This window comes from Homo sapiens, chromosome 13 (genome assembly GCF_000001405.40).
Source record: "Homo sapiens chromosome 13, GRCh38.p14 Primary Assembly".
In the NCBI taxonomy this organism is placed as follows: Eukaryota; Metazoa; Chordata; class Mammalia; order Primates; family Hominidae; genus Homo; species Homo sapiens.
This window is the reverse complement of record NC_000013.11, coordinates 72,751,155-72,770,748: the sequence shown is the minus strand read 5'-3', so window position 1 is coordinate 72,770,748 and position 19,594 is coordinate 72,751,155. Positions and strand designations below refer to the sequence as shown.

Here is a 19,594-nt window from a genome sequence, read left to right as displayed (position 1 = left end):
TATATTTACTTAACCTAAAATAGAAAAAACATATACATGTAAGTACCTGAGATATAAACATAGTCTAAAAAAGTCCCCAGCTGCGGGCACGTGCTTAAACATGTACAGATGCACTTAAATTTACACTAAAACTCATTTGGCCCTTTTGCTACCTACTCTCAGAGAAGAATGCAGAACAGGCCACCAGAGTCTTATTGCCAGCTTTCTTGACCCAGCTAGTACCAAGCCAAAGTAACCAGCCCCAGCCCTACTGCCATCACCTAAATTTGAGATTCCTGCCCACTTCTTGAGAATTTTTCAGTCAAGCTAGATGCTCTTTTGAACATGTAAAGTGGATACAGACAAATGTATTTCAGTTTGGGTGGGAGGGGAAGAGTCTTTCTAGGCAGAAAAACAAGGGCTAGGTCTGTGCCCTCAGGATAGAATGGGGGCACTGTTATAGCAAAATTTTGAGGGTTTTTTTTTTCCAATTATAAGCAGATAATTTTTGATGTGATTCAGAAATTAGTTCATGTTGCAGTTGTCCTGTATTCAGAAACTTACAAAGAATATATACTTGAAAAGACCAACTAGTGGTTTTATGCCCTAACTCAAGAACCCTAGTAATTGAAGCTGTTCCTACTTATAAATGGTTAGTGTTTTAAAAGTCAGCAGGTACACCACTTCTTTCTTCACATTTTCTCACAGAAATGATGTTTAAGTCACCATTGGATTTTAGTAGAACTAGCCTGAGATCATGTTTATTCATAATGGAGCCAGGTTATCTTTCTTGTCCTTTTCCTGTTTCTTTGTACTTCTCCCAAAAATCCCTTATGTTCTCTCTTATTTTGCCCTACATCTTTCTTCAAGATTTGCCAAACCCCTTATCTTCTAATGATCTGTTTTCCAAGCTTAACCTGTTTTTTCTGGCCCTTTGGCATCCTTCTTGCTGTTCTGCTAACCAGTGGTTGCAAAGAAAACAGTGTTAGACTGGTAAATAATGATGTGTGAATTATTTAAGCCATCACAGTTTGTACTTTAAAATAAGAATGACTTTTAATTCTTTAAGACTTGGTCAGTATAACAAAATTATATGAAAACAAACCTAGTGAATATATAACATAAAACCTTTTTCAGAGGGGAAACTCTTAGCCTTTAGTAGATGAGTTGGCTCTCCCAGGAATCCGACCTGACCTGCGTTATCTAACTCTGTTATGCTCTTTCTTATTTTCACTTGTGAAGCTACTCCTTAGACAAACAAAAAAAAAAAAAAGGAAAAAAAATGATGGATTTCTCTGAGAGAAATAGGAACAGAAGTAGTTATTTGTATATTTTGGTTATTTTTCATTGGGGATTACTTTAACTCTTTTCTACTATCATTTGTCTGGTTTTTACATGCTTAATTTTGGGTATTTACTGGATTTCCTGCAAAACATGGTGTCTCGACTCCTGCAGTCTTAATTATTTGCAGGGGAATAATGATCATCTGGAAAGGATTTCATATTTGTTATCAGAGAAGGAATCGATCTAACCTACCTTTGTGTTTTATTTTAGCATTATCTGGGTATTTATACAGTAATTGGAATATACAAGTAAAGTTTAAAGTTTATTTGCTAACAACATTGCCATTTTACCTTTTAAAATATGTTTGTTTATGTTGTATAATGCCTCAGATAAGAATTAATGAACCAGAAATCATAGATGTGAAGTATAATATCATAGCTAAGAATTTCTATTTTGTTACTGATTTTAGGTTTTCTGAAATCATGGATTTTATGTAGTGAAAGTAGGAGGACATATTGAAAACCATTTTTCTATCATTTATAAGAATTATATAACATACATTTTCTTTTTTAGGCATCTCTGACGTATGCTGAAGCTCAGTTGAGAATTGATTCAGCAAACATGAATGATGATATTACCACTAGTCTCCGTGGACTGAATAAACTAGCCAAAATTCTGAAGAAAAGAAGGATTGAAAAAGGGTATATTTTGTTTTTCATAGTATTAAGATAATTTTTATACTCTTTACATTGTTTGATCATAGGCAATGATGAATTATTTAAAAGGGTGAATAGAGACTCCTGTTTCTTCTAGCTTCCATTTATGTATGTATGTATGTATTTGAAACGGAGTTTTACTCTGTCACCCACGCTGGAGTGCAATGGCACAATCTCGGCTGACTGTAACCTCTGCCTCCCGAATTCGAACAATTCTCCTGTCGTTCAAGTAGCTGGGATTACAGGTGCCCACCACCACGCCCAGCTAATTTTTGTATTTTTAGTAGATATGGAGTTTCACCTTGTTGGCCAGGCTGGTCTTGAACTCCTGACCTCAGGTGATCCAGCCGCCTCGGCCTCCCAAAGTGTTGGGATTACAGGTGTGAGCCACCATGCCCAGCCTCTAGCTTCCTTTTAAATGTTAGCAACTTGATTCTGGACTGATGTTTGTTCAGGAGTTCCATCCTTGTAATTTGTTGTGTTAAAAAATTGTGTTTGAGTTAAAGATCTTGAAGAAATTCCAGGAAGGCAAGAACACCCTAAGATTTCTGGAAATTGTTTCTAATTTTAATTAGAAATGAGTTTCCAGATTGGACATTAGGTTTCAGAGGTTTAAATAAACGTAGATTAGGTCCTCCTTGCACTTTAAATTTTGGAGATTATTTAATTCAACCTCCTCATTTTTTAGGCAATTAAAAGTTGCATAAAAGGAGTCTTCCCAAAGATCTGACTAGTAACAGATCTGAGTCTTTTAGCTGTTATGTCATGGCTTTTGCCTAACTACAAAAGGCGTAAGGTATAGAGTATTAACTCAGGCATGTTGAAGGAAACCAGTTAAGAGAAATTTGACTCTTAAAAGACGTTGTTGACTATCAGAGGAAACCAAGTACATGAACCTTCCAGATGTTGGTCTCAGAGTTCCCAAGCCCCTCTAGGATAGGGTCACAAGCAGTTACTAAAGGTGTGGTGAGTGCGGATTGTACATTTGTGTCATTTCATAAGATGCGCCTATTTAAATTCATTAAAATTAATAAAATTAACAACTTAGTTCCTCAGCCTTACTAGCCATATTTCAAGTGCTCAATAGCCACATGTGACTAATGACTATCACATTGGACAGGGCACACATAGAACATTTCCATCACTGCAGAACGTTCTGTTGGACAGTGTTTGAGGTAGTTATGTACCTATGTCTACTAACACCTCAGTTTTCAGGGAATTTTTTATGTGATCTTAAATATGAAACTTGAAACAGAAAGGATCATTTGGGCATGCTAAAACCCAGTGGATACTATTAAACTTGAGCAAAACTTTCACTCAAGCTTGTCACTTGTATATAAGAAGAAGATAATTGAATTTTTTTGTGTGACACAAAACACCACAAAGTTTTTTTTTTAAGCAATGTAAATAAAATGCAAATTGAAGCTGTATTTATTTTAATAGTTTTAAAGTAAGAATTCGCATTTGTAACATAGCTTTTTAAAACTGAGGATATTTTTTAATTTCAGCAGTCTGTATTTTTAATTTGGTAAGTAGATGGTTGCCTCCTGGGAAAACATCATTGAATCATTTTAGTCTTAGGGAGAATTGAAAAAGCAATCAGAAAAAAAAACCGTCTTTTGCCTTCTAAAGTATTAATACTCATGGGTAGACATAACATTTTAGGTGTTCTATGAGGAAAAATGATCAAAATGTGATAAGTATACCTTGCTTTTTATGTCAAAATCCATTAATAAATACATATCAGACCTGAAGTAGAGCCTTGTTTTAAGTGCACACTACAAGGCAAGAAAGGAATATTTTTGAGATTCTCTTTTTAGTATGTGTTCCTACTATAGTTCTTTTAATAAAGGTGAGGAATTGAAGAAGACAAGGACTTAGACTTAGTGTTTCTTTTAACTTGCTCCATCTTATTTTAATTTTTCTCTTCCCCTTCTTTTCCTTCTCCATGATTGTTCAAGGTTGCCCAGTCTCATTAAAATTTTTAGTTTTAGGTTGATTTGGAGCTGACCTCATGAAAGTTATGTCAAGGTGTAAGAAACATTAGACTTGCCTTGCCTTGTGGGAATTTACTTTCCAAAGGGGAACTTGCCAGCTCATTAAATGAACCATGTGTGTAAAGTCCTGAGCATGGATTGTTTATCTGACACTTAGCAATCAAATATTAATAGCCATCACTACTTGTAACCTATTAGTGATACTAGGTTATCAGTTGCTTCTCTTTTGGTTCAGTCTTTGTGGAAGATACTTTTGAACTGTGGATCTTCTGGTGTTACTAAGCTACCCACAGCAGCTTCCCCTTTTGCCCCTCTTTATTGTCCCCTGCCCCAATAACTGTTTTCTGTAGTAAATTAAATACAATCAATCCCCTTCTTTATTTGTAAAAGTGATTAAAAACCTGTGTAGCTCAATAAAAACTCATCGTTTGGGTACAGAAGATATAACCCTCAGAAGCACAGGGATTCAGATTTCCTTGTGTTGCTATCGTCCTCTCTTGTTAAATGCATTTTAAATCTACTGAGCTGTTCATGAAAGCTCTACTGAGCTGTTTATGAAAATAGAACATGAAACAGCAGATGGTCATAAAGCCTTCAGAAGAGCAACTATTACACACTTGCTGTAGTCATTGTCTTTTTTAAAAGAATAATTTCTATACTTTTGTCTTTTATTGGCTTGCTTGACTATAATTTTTCTCTTTAATTTTTATGTAGGGCTTTGACTCTATCCTCTCCTGAAGTTCGATTCCACATGGACAGTGAAACTCACGATCCTATAGATCTGCAGACCAAGGAACTTAGGTTTGTAATTTTTTTGATGGGCATTAGATAAGATTTTTTTATTTTAATTGTCATGTCTACTGTAAGTACAAATAATGAAAACGTTTATATACAAAATAATGATTAGGGTCATGATTTCTACTTTATTTGGCTTGCAAAGGACAGAAAAGTAAATTTAAGCTCAGTTTTTCTTCTATAAAACTGCGTTTAGTCGCATAATAGAAAAACTTTCAATTTGAATTTGTTTGCTTTGATGTGTGATGTATTAGAACTTGACTAGTAATAGTTAGAGTAAGATAAAAAAAATTACCCCAATTAATTTCTAAAGTAGAATATACTGTAGTGCAGGGGTTCCCAGCCCCTGGGCTGTGAGCTTTACTACCTGAGCTCTGCCTTCTGTCAGATCGGTGGCAGCATTAGATTCCCATTGGAGCGCCAGTCCTATTGTGAACTGTGTGTAGGAGGGATCTAAGTTGTGCACTTCTTATGATAATCTAATGCCTGATGAAACCATCCCTCCCTCCCCTTGTCGCATAGAAGAGTTGTTTTCCATGAAACCCGTCCCTGGTGCCAGAAAGATGGGGGTAGGATAGAATAATAGATAGTAGGATAGATAGTAGGGTAGAATAATGGTGAAGATCATGGGTTATGAAGCCAGACTCCCTAGGTTTGGATCCCTCTGCTGTTATTACTATTATATTTCCCACTAAAGTAGTTATTTGACTTCTCCATGCCTCAATTTATTTGTCTGTAAATTGCCTATGATTGATAATGGCACCTACCTCATAGGGTGCTGTGAGGGTGATATTAGCTATTGTTGTTTATTGATTTAGTTAAGATGTAGGAAACAAGAATTTTTTTGTTAAATCAGGGTTTAGGCCTCTTTCCCTGCCTCTTATTTACATTAAGGTAATTTTGGAATTCAACATGCATATGCACTTTTCTAATAGATGACCAAGGGTTAAAAATGGGAATATACTCAAATTTTTTACTTAGAGTAAATATGTGCTTGCGTGCTATTATAATATCTAACAATCCCTTATAGTAGAACTTCTGTGTAAGTATGTTTAATATTAATGCTAATAATGAGCCCAGTACTAAGAGCTTTTATGAGCAACAGGTTGACACTAGCTTTGCCAAAGTAAAATATCAGCCATTTCTTCTTACCAAGAAGAAGAAAGAACACATTTCTGAGATGTCCCCATGTGATTGGAGGTCTTTCTAATATTTTTAAAATGAATATACTTTAGAAATATTGTCAAGAAGTTACAAGATGAAACTTAAATGGAAGGTTAATAATATGTGTTCATTGACTTGCAAGACAGAAAGCACTGTATCAACAGAAGGTGGATCATTTACTAAACTAACCGAAAAATGTATGTGAATAACTATATAGAGAATCACAGCAGTATCAGATTGGTTAAGAGTTTTGAAGTCAGATTGTGTGGACTCAAATTCTCATACTGCTAGTAACTCTCACCTTGAGCAAGAGAATAATGAATATATCCTCAATTTTCTCATCTGTAAAACAGAGTTTGTGGGTGTGTGTGTTGAGGGCAGGATGTACTTATAGCACAATGACTGACCCATTGTAAGTATCCAAATTAGCTATTATAAATATGGTCTCTTCATTTGAGTAATTTATTGTTAAAAATTTTGGTTTTTAAGCCAAAATTTGTATGATCTAAATAGCTTTTAGTTCTTGTAAACTTTATTGATTTACAATTAAATAAAAATATTTTTGGACCTGGTAAAATCAAGTAAAAATGCTTGTTTTCATTTCATTTATAAATAGAGTAGTAAAGCTTCTGTTTTTGAGTGCAATTTTGTTGTTGTTTTTTGACACAGAGTCTTGCTCTGTCACCCAGCCTGGAGTGCAGTGATGCGATCTCGGCTCACTGCAACCTCCACCTCCCGGGTTCAAGTGATTCTCATGCCTCAGCCTCTCAAGTAGCCGGGACTACAGGAGTGTGCCACCAGACCTGGCTAATTTTTTTATATTTTTAGTAGAGTCAGGGTTTCGTCATGTTGGCCAGACTGGTCCTCGAACTCCTGGGCTCAAATGATTTGCCTGCCTCGGCCTCCCAAAGTGCTGGGATTACAGGTGTGAGCCACTGCAACTGGCTGAGTGCAATTTGTAAAGTTTCCTCTAGCATGTAAGATTTACTCATGCAGTAGTTGCATAATAAGAGATTGTTAGCGGAGTAACTGAGAGATGAAAGAATCATAAGTTATTTAAAATACAAATGTACACACACATATGAATGTTTACATAGGAAATGCTCTTATTATCTTCTTGGTAACAAAGGTAACCTGTGAAAAAATATGATATATAGAAGTCTCAGATTCTCTTTTTTGTTTGTTTAATGCTTTTTCCATTGGCAGGGAAACAAATTCCATGGTTGAAGAATTTATGTTACTTGCCAATATTTCTGTTGCAAAAAAAATTCATGAGGAATTTTCTGAACATGCTCTGCTTCGAAAACATCCTGCTCCACCTCCATCAAATTATGAAATTCTTGTTAAGGCAGCCAGGTCAAGGGTAAGGTCCTACAGTTTGAAAAATCATCTATTTGTGTTTTGATCTACCTGTTGTTCTAAATAATTTATATTCATATTTCCATAAAGGTTTTATTGTTTGTTAATACAAGAATATGCCAATAGTTCTTTTTTCTTTTGGTTTTTTTTTTGAGACAGGGTCTCACTGTCACCCAGACTGGAGTGCAGTGGCACGATCTCGGCTCACTGCACCCTCCACCTCCCACCCAGTCTCAAGCCATCCTCCCGCCTCAGCCTCCTGAGGAGCTGGGACTGCAGGCGCACACCACCATGAGTGGCTAATTTTTTGTATTTTTTTGGTAGAGGTAGATTTTCACTATGTTGCCCAGGCTGGTCTCAAACTCCTGGACTCAAGTAATTATCTCATCTCGGCCTCCCAAAGTGCTGTGCTGGGATTACAGGTGTGAGCCACCGCACCCAGCCTAATGTTTTTAAAGAGCACCCTATGCTAAAGCTGGATGTTTAGACTAAGATCTATGCAGCATCCTGGTCATATAAAACTCTTCCATGTTTCCTTGTCTTTATGCATGTTTCATATGTCTATGTTGCTTCATGGCTCCTGTCAACTGCCTGACTTTACAAATAATGTATTTTTTTTTTTTATTTATTTACTTCAACTCAGTTAAATCCTTTCCATTTCTTGTTCGTAAGAAAAGTATATTTATTGCATACATGGAAAAGAGGAAACTATAGAAAGGGCACATTTTTTCAGCCCTGTATACCCACTACTTCTTGTTAGTAGATTTTCATTTAGGGGTGCTTACCCCTTGGGTGACTATGGCCTACATTGCTTTTCCTTGGATTACCTGGTTAGGCCCTATCCTTCCCATCTAGAAGAGAGCTGGGAGCAGTAATGTTGGACTGCAGGGCATTATTCGATCATGATGGCATTGGTTTCTGATTTTGGATCAGACCTTTACGGCATGCATGCCCAGCTTCTCCAGATTCATAGGAATTGAATCAGCTTCTCACTCCTCTGCTCCAAGCCTTAATCTGTAAATAGGGATTTTTTCCTTCATTGTCTTATTTCTTCCAAAGACCTAAGAGAAGAGATGTATATTTGACTCATCTCCCTAGGGTAGAACAAAGCAGCTAAATTTGATGAATCCGAACATTGTTCTGACAGAACTGTAGTGACCAGTACAGTTTTGTTTCTGGCTACTACTTCTACTTTGAAGGGAAGGAAAATAACAAAAACATGATGTTTGTTCAGTCAGATCAGTTATATTTTGAAGACATAATGGTACTGACTTAGAAATGTTTAATATGGTGCTCTTCCCTCCTTTTTGTTTACAGAATTTGGAAATTAAGACTGATACAGCCAAGTCTTTGGCTGAGTCTTTGGATCAGGCCGAATCTCCTACTTTTCCATATCTAAACACTCTGTTGAGAATATTAGCCACTCGCTGTATGATGCAAGCTGTGTACTTCTGTTCTGGAATGGATAATGATTTTCATCACTATGGCTTAGCGTCTCCAATATACACACATTTTACTTCACCCATTAGAAGGTATTTTTTCCTTATGAAATTAAAGGAGATAGAAAATGGTTAATTTTGAATTTTAAAAGCACATATTAGTACTGACATACCATGGTTCTTATTTTTCCATCTATCTAGATACGCAGATGTCATTGTTCATCGGCTTTTGGCTGTGGCTATTGGGGCTGACTGTACTTATCCAGAGTTGACAGACAAACACAAGCTTGCAGATATATGTAAAAATCTAAATTTCCGGCACAAAATGGCTCAATATGCCCAACGTGCATCAGTGGCTTTTCATACCCAGGTATTTGCCTTTTGTCGATACTGCTAGAAAAAATGAAGTTTTGTTCATTTTTAATTTAATTTCAATTTTTTGTTTATTTAAAAATTTTTAAGACAATTTAAATAAGTTGTATGTTATTTTACAGTTATTCTTCAAAAGCAAAGGAATAGTAAGTGAAGAAGCCTATATTTTATTTGTAAGAAAGAATGCCATTGTGGTATTAATTCCAAAGTATGGTTTAGAAGGGACAGTCTTTTTTGAAGAAAAGGACAAACCAAACCCACAGCTTATTTATGATGATGAGGTACGGTATTTCTCATGTTTGTTTTCTTTTCCGGGGGGCACTTTTTCTTTGAGAGTTCATAAATGGTACCTATAAAGCATAAAATTATTTTTTGTACCCTGAAGAATTTATCCTGATCTCCAAATACATGCCAGAAAATCTACATTTAATTTTGCCAACTAAACTATGGTTTTACTCACAATTTCTCACCACTATATGTCTTCTCATATGCAATTGTTGTCTTTGATTTCTTTCTTTTATACCATGTAAAGTTTTGCCCTACATGGAACAATAAATGACTCTTTATAACTCGGGGAAGGAACTTTTTTTTTAAACTTACTTCTAGTGTTTCTTATTTGACACACATACTCCCTATTCTCCTTAGGAGAACCACAGCCCTGAGAGAATATTTGAACAATAAACTGGCCAAAATACCTTTGTGTTCCTCTACTAGACTAAAAATTTCCTATTTATTAGTGGGGTGATTAATTAATCACCAAGAATTTAATGAACATATATATTAGAAATACCTTAATGAAGGAGAAAGTAAGCACATAAGTAGGTCATATTTATATGAGACTACTAGGTTTGTGGCCTTTGTTATGTTGAACACGTAGATGCTTACTAATTTTTATATTTAAACTTCTACTATGTAAGATAAATTGTAAAGGATTAGAACAAAGCCTCAAATGTAAGGAAGCAATTAAGAATGATAAAATGTGTTTTGTTTAGATACCCTCACTTAAAATAGAAGATACAGTGTTCCATGTATTTGATAAAGTTAAAGTGAAAATCATGTTAGACTCATCTAATCTTCAACATCAGAAGATCCGAATGTCCCTGGTAGAACCACAGGTAAGGCCAAACTTAAAATTTCCTTGTTGTGATGGAACAAACAGTACATATTTTGTCAAAGAAGGGACGTAGTTATTTCTGTTTAATGTTAGAGGGAACCCTGTAAGTAGTGTAGAAACCAAATATTTGCATAGCAAATCCTGTTTTCTCACTGATTTCTTTAGGCCACGGGATTCTAGACATCTGAGATTCTGTTCAGGTCTTTGGTGCTAAAATAAAAAGGTCTTCCATTCTCCTGCCTAGTCTTTTCTATCTAGAAGTTTTGAACTCTGCATTTTGAAGATGAAGTGTAGGTGTTTCACCTAAGATACTGGTTCTTAACTTTTGTCCTTCCCCAACACACTTGAAATCAACTCTGATTCTGTCAATCACAGTGGCTCCCCATTGGGAAGGCTGTTTTGTAGTTAAAAAGAACACTTCCTAAATGACATGCTTCTCACCTGTTGAGACCATGTCTAGCTTTTACATTTTTGAACCACTGCTACTTTGTAAAATACCTTCTGTGTATAAAACCTTTAATTAGCCCCCTTTCCCCTCCCTACCACTACATCCTTTTAAATTTGAAGCTGGCAGTGGGGAAGGGGAGGATGAGGTTGAGATGTATTCTATCCTTTAAATCACCTTATTTCCCCCCATTTGCATTACTTTAGATACCAGGAATAAGCATTCCTACTGATACTTCAAACATGGACCTTAATGGACCAAAGAAAAAGAAGATGAAGCTTGGAAAATAGCTATATTCAACAAAAATCTTCAAAGACTGGTTTCTTTTTTAAAAGAAAAAACTTGAAAGAACACTTCTAAGCCTAAGTGTGTGATACAGTTTGTTACTTTTAAGTACATTTTAATAATTTCAGACATCTGCATTTTTATTGAACAGTTGACTGTATCTGACCCATCATACTACTATACTTCTGGGTTGAACAGAATTATTTATGCAGAATAATTCAATTGAATATCCATCACTTAAATACAGTGACAGGACAGCAACTTCAGGGATCTGTAAAGATCATTTAAATGGAGTGCTCATCTCATTGAGGAGCAGATTAATTTTGCGTAAGTACTTTGATTATTTAATATTTGTAAGAAAAAACTTTCATTTTCCTACAGAGGAAAATAGAACAATTTTAGAAGCAAGGAACAATCTCTTTTCTAAGTCTTGGAAGCTGTCAGTGTTGAGGATGTAATCTCCTTTGCCATCTTTAATTCACCTAACTTACACTAGGTGTTCTCTTACTGTCTTTAAAAGCTTCCTGTATTTTATTAGTGGTCCTTGAAAAACTGTGAATGTTTGGGAATTGGTAGAAAGGCAAAAAGTAGGATATTTTGACCTGACTGGAAAGATGGTTGTGTTTTTATTGCCAGGTAATAAGTGTGATCATTGTTGAACTTCAGCTCCAGTGTCTCTCCAGAATAAGACATTGGCATTCAAATGTCTATATCTTGTTACTTACAAAATAAAAAACAGATTAATTAGTGGCTTTTAAATTGTAGTTATATCAGTGTATATACACGAGGGGAACTGTATAAAGACATACTAAAGGGAACAGATTAAAATAAGTATTATTAATAAAATTTGGTGTGCCAGACTGACTACTTCCCTTGCTAATCACAGAGATTAGTAATGATTAAATTAATATCTTCAGGAATATTTTGGGATAGGGTTGCCTTAAAACATTTTACTTGGCTTATTCAATTTCTAAAGCACTTACGTTGTGCCAGGTTCCACTCAAGTAAATTATCTCTGCCTTCAAGGAGCTTGCAGTATAGTGAGAAAAGCCTGCCAAGTAAATCAGCAGGTATACTAAATAGGTAGTCATTTAGGCACTCAATAAATGTTGACTAATTTTTCCAGTTTCCTATTACTGAGGAAAACCTCCATACACTGAGGCAGAAACTTGTGTCAGTTGGAGGAAAATAGACTTGAGTAGTCTTTGGTCCAGGTAAAATGGGTCAGTGACACTGAAACAGTAGAGTAGGAGTCAAAAAACCTTTTCTGTGAAGTGCTAGAACATTTTAGACTTTGTTGGCTATGGTCTGTATTGCAACTATAGTACACAACTCTGCCGTTGATAGTGTGTAAGGAGCCATATACAATATGTAAACAAATCAACATGACTGTGTTTCAACAAGGCCTGATTTGTTAAGTTTCATATATAGTCATATGTCACTTAATGACAGGGATATGTTCTGAGACATGTCACTTGGCAATTTCATCATTGTGTGAAAATCATGATGTAGTTACACAAACCTAGATGGTATACCCTATGGTATCCTATATGGGATAGCCTATTGCTCCTAACCTACAAACCTGTATGGCATATTACTGTACTGATTACTGTAGGCGGTTGTAACACAGTGCTAAGTATTTGTGTATCTAAACATATCTAAACATAGAAAAGGTACAGTAAAAATATATATATAGATATATATAAGATATAAAATGGTACACCTATTTAGGACATTTACCATGAACAAGTTGGCAGGACTGGAAGCTGGCTCTGGGTGAGTCAGTAAGTGGTTAGTGAATGTGAAGGCCATGATATTACTGTGCACTACTGTAGACTTTTATAAACACTATATACTTAGGCTACATAAAGTAATTTCACTATGATGTTACCATGGCTGTGTCCCCAGGCAATAGGAATTTTTCAGCTCCATTGTAATCTTACGGGATCATCATCGTATATTTGGCCATTGTTGACCAAAAGTTATGCAGCACATCATTATAATTTTGATGTGTCACAAAACATTACTCATTTGATTTCCCCCACCCCCGCCAACCATTTAAAAAAGTTTGCCGGCTAGGTGCGGTGGCTCATGCCTGTAATCCTAGCATTTTGGGAGGACGAGGCGGGTGGATCACTCGATGTCAGGAGTTTGAGACCAGCCTGGCCAACATGGTAAAACGCCGTCTCTACTAAAAATACAAAAACTTAGCTGGGTGTAACGGCGGATGCCTGTAATCCCAGCTACTTGGGAGGCTGAGGCAGGAGAATCGCTTGAACCTGGGAGGCGGAAGTTGCAGTGAGCCGAGATTGCACCACTGCAGTTCAGCCTGGATGATGAGAGTGAGACTCCATCGCAAAAAAAAAAAAAAAAAAAGAAAAGAAAATTAGCCAGGTGTGGTGGCAAGTGCCTTTAATCCCACCTCAGGAGGCTGAGGCAGGAGAATCGCTTGAACCTGGGAGGCAGAGGTTGCAGTGAGCCAAGATCGCGCCACTGCACTCCAGCCTGGGTGACAGAACAAGACTGTCTCAAAAAAAAAAAAAGAGAAGAAAAACTGCCTACAGGCCATAGTTAACCTGCAATAGAGAAGAAAGGGAAGTAGGGCAGTGCATGACTGGCCTTAGGTTTTTTCTTTCCAAGTTTATTTTCTTGTGCTTCAGCTACTAGAAAGGTTTAATTCAGGGATAAGTCCCAATTGAGTAGTTCAAGATGATCAGAGACTTTGCTATTTTCCCCTAAGTTCTATTCCATAATCTAAAATGTTCTGTTTCTAGTGCCAGTTCTTATGCTAAGCAGGTTACGTGGAATATATCACTTAACTCAAAAAGCCCTGTTAAGCCAGGACTGTTATCTCCATTTAACAGATGAGAAAATGGAGGTTTATGGTCTGTTCTCACACTGCTACGAAGAAATACCCCAAACTGGGTAATTATTATAAAGGAAAGAGGTTTAATGGACTCAGTTCCGCATTGCTGGTGAGGCCTCAGGACACTTACACAATCATGGCAGAAAAAGGAGAAGCAGGCACCTTTTTCACAGGGCGGCAGGATGAAAATGACTGCCAGCAGTGGAAATGCCAGACGCTTATAAAACCTTCAGATCTCATGAGACCGGCTCACTATCACAGGAACAGCATGGAGGAAACCGCCCCCATGATCCAGTTACCTCCACCTGGTCCCACCCTTGACACGTGGGGATTGCTACAATTCAAGGTTAGATTTGGGTGAGGACACAGAGCCATACCATATCAGCCCAGATCAAGTAGTGACAGAGTAGGGATTTGAATACAGGTTATAGTCACTATTGTGTTATTTCTTGACTTTTGTACTATTAAAAAACTGTAGCCAGTGAGGCTTCTACCCTTAGTACCCAGAACTCCTTTTAGGTATAGCAATTGTTTTTAGGTAAATTTATATTGAGTTTAACACCTGTGTGATTAAAGACAACTTTCCAATGTAGTATCTGTAGCCATGTCCCCTAATGGCTATTAGTGTTCATGGTTAGTGTGTTGAAGATGAGCCAGGTACATAACGCGGCACATTTTCTGCAGGTCAGCAGTAAGGTTTCAAGGTACAGTTATGGAGGAAAGAAGAAAATGACACATTGATAACACAGGTCTTTATTCCCTTTTGAATGAGACAGTTTTTAAAAGTTGATTTATAAATACAAAAATACATTCTCCAAAGATAGTATTTCCAAACTGTTATATACCCATCTACTCCCAACATGGATATAAGTTTTTTAAAAAAATAGTTGTATATAACATACATATCTGCCCCAGTGTTACTTCACAGGCCTATGCCCTACGGGAACTCCACTCTCCCAGCCCCACTTTTTCTCTTGGTTCTCCCACATTCTTATTCTCCCACATCCCTACCCACGTTTGAGCTGGAAAGGATGTCCCTACCCTAGGCATGAGGTATATTTTATTCTGGGCACCACACATTTGCCCCATAGATAACAATACACGTGATGATGTCACTAGTACTACCTTTCTAGTATTTACATACTTAAAAGTAGTAACTAGAACAGTTATCACTGGAACTAAGAATTTTCCCCACAGAGGTGAACAGACCAAGAACTAAAATTTCAGGAAACCTGTTTAATTTCTTTTGTATCTTTGAAAAGTTAGTTTTATATCTAAGATTTCTTCACATAGGTTATAATTCATCTGTATGTTCAAGCTTTTATGTAAAAATATATAGTGCCTTCAGTTTTAACATAGTTTCACATGTTCTCAGAACTGCTAAATTCAGTGCTACCAGTAAGGCTTAATAAGTAGTTCATTGACCCTGTAAGATAGGAGCACTCAGCTCTGTCACAATTTGTTGTTAAACACATCACTCAATGTAAGTATAAAAATATTTATTGATAAAAAATAAACTTATAATTCAGCAACTTGAAGTTCCAGGAGCATTTCTGTTGTTCCTATGTCAGTAAGCCCTTGATTTTTCACATTAAGGAGGGAAAGCTAAGCATGTTACTTGAAGTAATTTTTTCCCAGTCACCATCATGTTGATCCTGTGCACAACGATATATGCGAGGAACTCTTAAGCTTAGTCTTTGATTCTGACAGAGGCATTCTATGGACTGCTGCATTGAAAAGGGCTTGCTGTTTTCATCCAACACCTCTGTGTTGTGTGGTCTTGCTGTGAAAAAGAAGACAATACCTTGTTTTCAGTTTAAGTAGGACCACTGGAGGATGCAATTATCGGGACTGTTTTTAAAACCTAAAAGCACGTTTCTTTAGCTGAACTCTGAAGGGACAGTAAAGATACAGTATTTTATAAATCAATATTCTGCATCAAAAAGCATCCCAACACTTTGAGAGGCCAAGGTGGGAGGATCGCACGAGCCCAGGAGTTTGGGACTAGCCCTGGCAACATAGTGAGACCCTGTCTCTACCAAAAATTTTAAAAAGCTGGGTGTGGTGGCACATGCCTGTAGCCCTAGCTACTCAGGAGGCTGAGGTGGTAAGACTGCTTGAGTCTGGGAGGTGAAGGCTACAGTGAGCTGTGGTCGTGCCACTACACTCTAGCCTGGGTGACAGAATGAGACCTTGTCTCAAAAAAAATAAAATAATAAAATTTAAAAAAATCCTTCATTTATCTCTACTTATGTTTAGATAGACAACTGCATCCTGAAATAGGATGGATTTTGTTCAGGTTAATATTAGAAGAGACCTGCTCTGATACTACATACAACAGAAAGGCAGTTTGCTCCTACTACATACAACAGAAAGGAAAACTAAGGTGGCCTCCCTATTAAACATTTGTTGCACATTTGCTGATATTTATAGTATTTTATAAGAAACTGGCATATAACAGCAGGGCAAGGTGGTTCACACCTGTAGTTCTAGCTACTCAGGAGGGTGAGGCAGGAGGATTGCTTGAGCCCAGCAGTTAAAGGCTGTAGTGATCTGATTCTACGACTGCACTCCAGCCCGGGTGACAGAGTAAGACCCTGTCTCAAAAAAAAAAAAAAAGAAAAAAAAGAAACGGCATACAAGGCTGGGCATGTTGGCTCATGCCTGTAATCGCGCAGCACTTTGCGAGGCTGAGGCAGAAAGACTGCTTGACACCAGGAGTTTGAGACCAGCCTGGGCAACACAGCAGGCCCTGTCTCTACAAAAAAATAAAATGCAAAAAAAATTGGCACATAAAATTAAAGACTGTCCTGACTAGTGCCTGAAATTATGATGAGTTTCTTCAAGTATGAATATATAACCACCACCTGGAAGGTTCAGTAAATGCCCTCATCAAATACACGCTACCTTTGCACACTTTGTAGTATGTAAGATACTTGTGTATTCAGAGTAACCAAAATATTTAAAGGTTATTGGATGTTAAGAAAACAGGCTTACCTTTTAGTGTTTTAAATTTCATATAGTTTCTCAATAGTACTATTGTCTAATAATCAAAATTATTTTATATTTCTAATCTAAACAATATTAAGCTTTCACTATATTTTCTCCGTACCTTCATATTAAATGCTTGAGATTTACTCTCAACTTCACATGTTTGTGCATCACTTTCTTTGCAGTAACTTTCTGCCCCAACTGTATCCATAATATTGCTTCCACAATTCTGCGTATTATAGCCACTATCCATCTGACAGGAGAAAAAAGAAAAAAATATATTGTGAGGAACTTAAAAGTCAAATATTTAAATAAGTAAACCACTATAAACTCTCATTCACTACATCTGAATGATCCTAACATGTAATATTGATCATGTTGAACAAAATTCAAAAGTAATGCACAAATATAAAAGGTAGTCCTGCATAGTACTGATTATTGTAGTCATTTTACAATTCCTTCCAATGAAATATATCTTGTAACTTCCTTAAGAATCAGTGAACAGCCTACTGACACAATGCTTTCCTGTTATTTTGTGATCGTACCTAGTAGACAAAAATGAGTATTACAACTAACTTCACCTTCCAACGCATTTTCCAGGCTTGTCTCTAAATGGCTTGAGGCATGCTGCCTTTAAAAAAGTGGATTATATTATATTTACACCTAGTTGTTCACAATAATGCCACATATATAATGGCTCTAGATGTTAGTTCAGCTTTTCATGTTAATAAAAATTGTAGCATCCTAAGATACACTGTTTCAGTGCAAAAGAGCAAAAAAGAAAGATTCTAGCGAACTTCCAGCTTGGAAACATTTATTGAGTGTCTAAAAAGGCCAGGCACTATCTCTATATATTTAATATTTTTTTCTCCTTTCAACAACCCTAATACTTTACTAGAGAAGGAAATTAAGGCTTAAAAAGCTTAACTTTCACAATGTCATCCAGTGATGAGGTGATGAAGATGTGAGACCTAAGTCCAGGTTCTGTTCACTGCACAACGCTCCATTTACCTGTATAATGCTGAGCACCAAAGAAAGCAATCCACAAGGGAATCATTTTGCATTTAAGCCCTCCCTGCAAGTTAGGATCAGAGGGAAGGAAAAAGCTGACTGTCATTTTGTTTCCCTCACAAAGGTACAGACTAGCCTAGAAACGGCACTCTTTATCACTTAATAATCCTGAAAAAATGTTCCCAGATTTCAAGGCTGGATACATATCTGCTTACTACTAGAGGTCATGTTCCAATTAGAACAAAAGCCTTGTGATGTGTAACATTTTTGGGGAAAAGCCTTGTTCTGCTATCATTCAATAGCTACTTGATCAAAAATATAAATGTCAGATTGCTCCCAGAGATTCTGCCAATAGCTCTTCCTTCTAATATTCATCACTGCCAAATAGCTGGCTTATAATGCAATACTAATATGTAACTGGATATATATGGAGGGAAGAGTTACTCATTAGTACAGCAGGAAGTAAGGCATGCGGGGAGTTTGTCCCACACTATGGGAAGAGCAGGATTGATGAGAGCCAAGTTGAGATGGTGGCTGACTTCACTGTCTCTCATCTAGACTTCTGCTAATGTCAATGCCTAATATGTACCAACCAGGCAACAGATACCTTGTTATCCCCCACAGGCATCAAGGCAGGCATCAATCTCACTTTATAGCTAAGAAGGATGAGGGGACAAAAATTAAAAAGTCATGTTCTATTCACTGCTATGTAAATCTTGCCTTAAGATCCCACAGCCTGGAAATAAAAGAACTCTAATTCAAACTTGGTTCTAATTGCAAACTTTATATTCCAGTTGGGTCATGGTGCCTTTAAATGGTGTCTCTATGTCAGTCATTTAACATGCACTTTGTTACTAAATTTATTTTTCTACCACATAAATCAGATGTCATTGTCTTTTAAAACTTTCAATTGGCAACAGTTGTGCCCTGTGATAACATTCCTTGACATCTGGGCCCAGCACTTTAGCCCTTCCCTCATCATTCTCAGTCCCCCTTGTTTGTTACCATTCAAAGGACCTTGCCTTCCATTACTACTTATGTTTTTGCTTTTATTATTATTTTAAACTGACACACAATTACACATATTTATGATGTACATGATATTTTGATATGTTTACAATATGTAATGATCAAATTGGGGTAATTAGCATATCCATTAACTCAAACATTTATCATTGCGTTGGGAACTTTCAAAATCTGCTCTTCAAGCTATTTGAAAATATACGATAAATTGTTAATTACACTCACCGTATAGAGCTATAGAACACTAGAATTACTCCTATCGAGCTGTACTTTTGTATCCATTAACCAACCTCTCCCTATCCCTGCTCCCCCTACCCTTCCCATCCTCTACTACCTACCACTATTCTATACTCTTCTATGAAATCAACCTTTTTAGCTTCCACATGAGGGAGTACATGTGGTATTTATCTTTCTGTGCCTGGCTTATTTCACTTAATGTCCTCCAGTTCATCCATGTTGCTGCAAATGTAAGGACTTCATTATTTTTTATGGCTGAATAGTATTCCATTGTGTATATATACCACATTTTCTTTATCCATTCATCTATTAGTGGACACTTAGGGTGATTCCATATTCTGGCTATTATGAATAGTGCAGCAATAAACACTGGAGTACAGGTATCTCTTTGACATACTGATTTCCTTTCCTTTGGATATATACCTACTAGTGGGATTGCTGGATCACATGGTAGTTCTATTTTTAGTTTTTTGAGGAACTTCCATAATAGCTGTACTAATTCATATTCCCACCAACA

The 19,594-nt window shown here is 36.7% G+C and overlaps 2 protein-coding genes across 8 annotated transcripts in view; one reads left to right on the top strand and one right to left on the bottom strand.

Moving 5' to 3' along the window:
- DIS3 (DIS3 exosome endoribonuclease and 3''-5'' exoribonuclease) overlaps nt 1-18,580 on the top strand; it is a 29,732-nt gene extending 11,152 nt beyond the window's left edge. For all 4 annotated transcript variants that reach the window (NM_001322348.2, NM_014953.5, NM_001128226.3 and 1 more), the window contains 8 exons: nt 1,837-1,964; nt 4,691-4,777; nt 7,142-7,298; nt 8,612-8,826; nt 8,935-9,103; nt 9,228-9,386; nt 10,098-10,220; nt 10,871-18,580. In NM_001322348.2, the coding sequence (NP_001309277.1) occupies nt 1,837-1,964; nt 4,691-4,777; nt 7,142-7,298; nt 8,612-8,826; nt 8,935-9,103; nt 9,228-9,386; nt 10,098-10,220; nt 10,871-10,954 (1,122 nt within the window). In that variant the 3' untranslated portion in view covers nt 10,955-18,580. The remainder of the gene's footprint in view (nt 1-1,836; nt 1,965-4,690; nt 4,778-7,141; nt 7,299-8,611; nt 8,827-8,934; nt 9,104-9,227; nt 9,387-10,097; nt 10,221-10,870) is intronic.
- The window catches only part of BORA (BORA aurora kinase A activator), a 28,274-nt gene continuing 23,232 nt past the window's right edge, over nt 14,553-19,594 (bottom strand). For all 4 annotated transcript variants that reach the window (NM_001286746.3, NM_024808.5, NM_001286747.2 and 1 more), the window contains 2 exons: nt 16,928-17,059; nt 14,553-15,598 (listed from right to left, as the gene is read on the bottom strand). In NM_001286746.3, the coding sequence (NP_001273675.2) occupies nt 15,533-15,598; nt 16,928-17,059 (198 nt within the window). In that variant the 3' untranslated portion in view covers nt 14,553-15,532. The remainder of the gene's footprint in view (nt 15,599-16,927; nt 17,060-19,594) is intronic.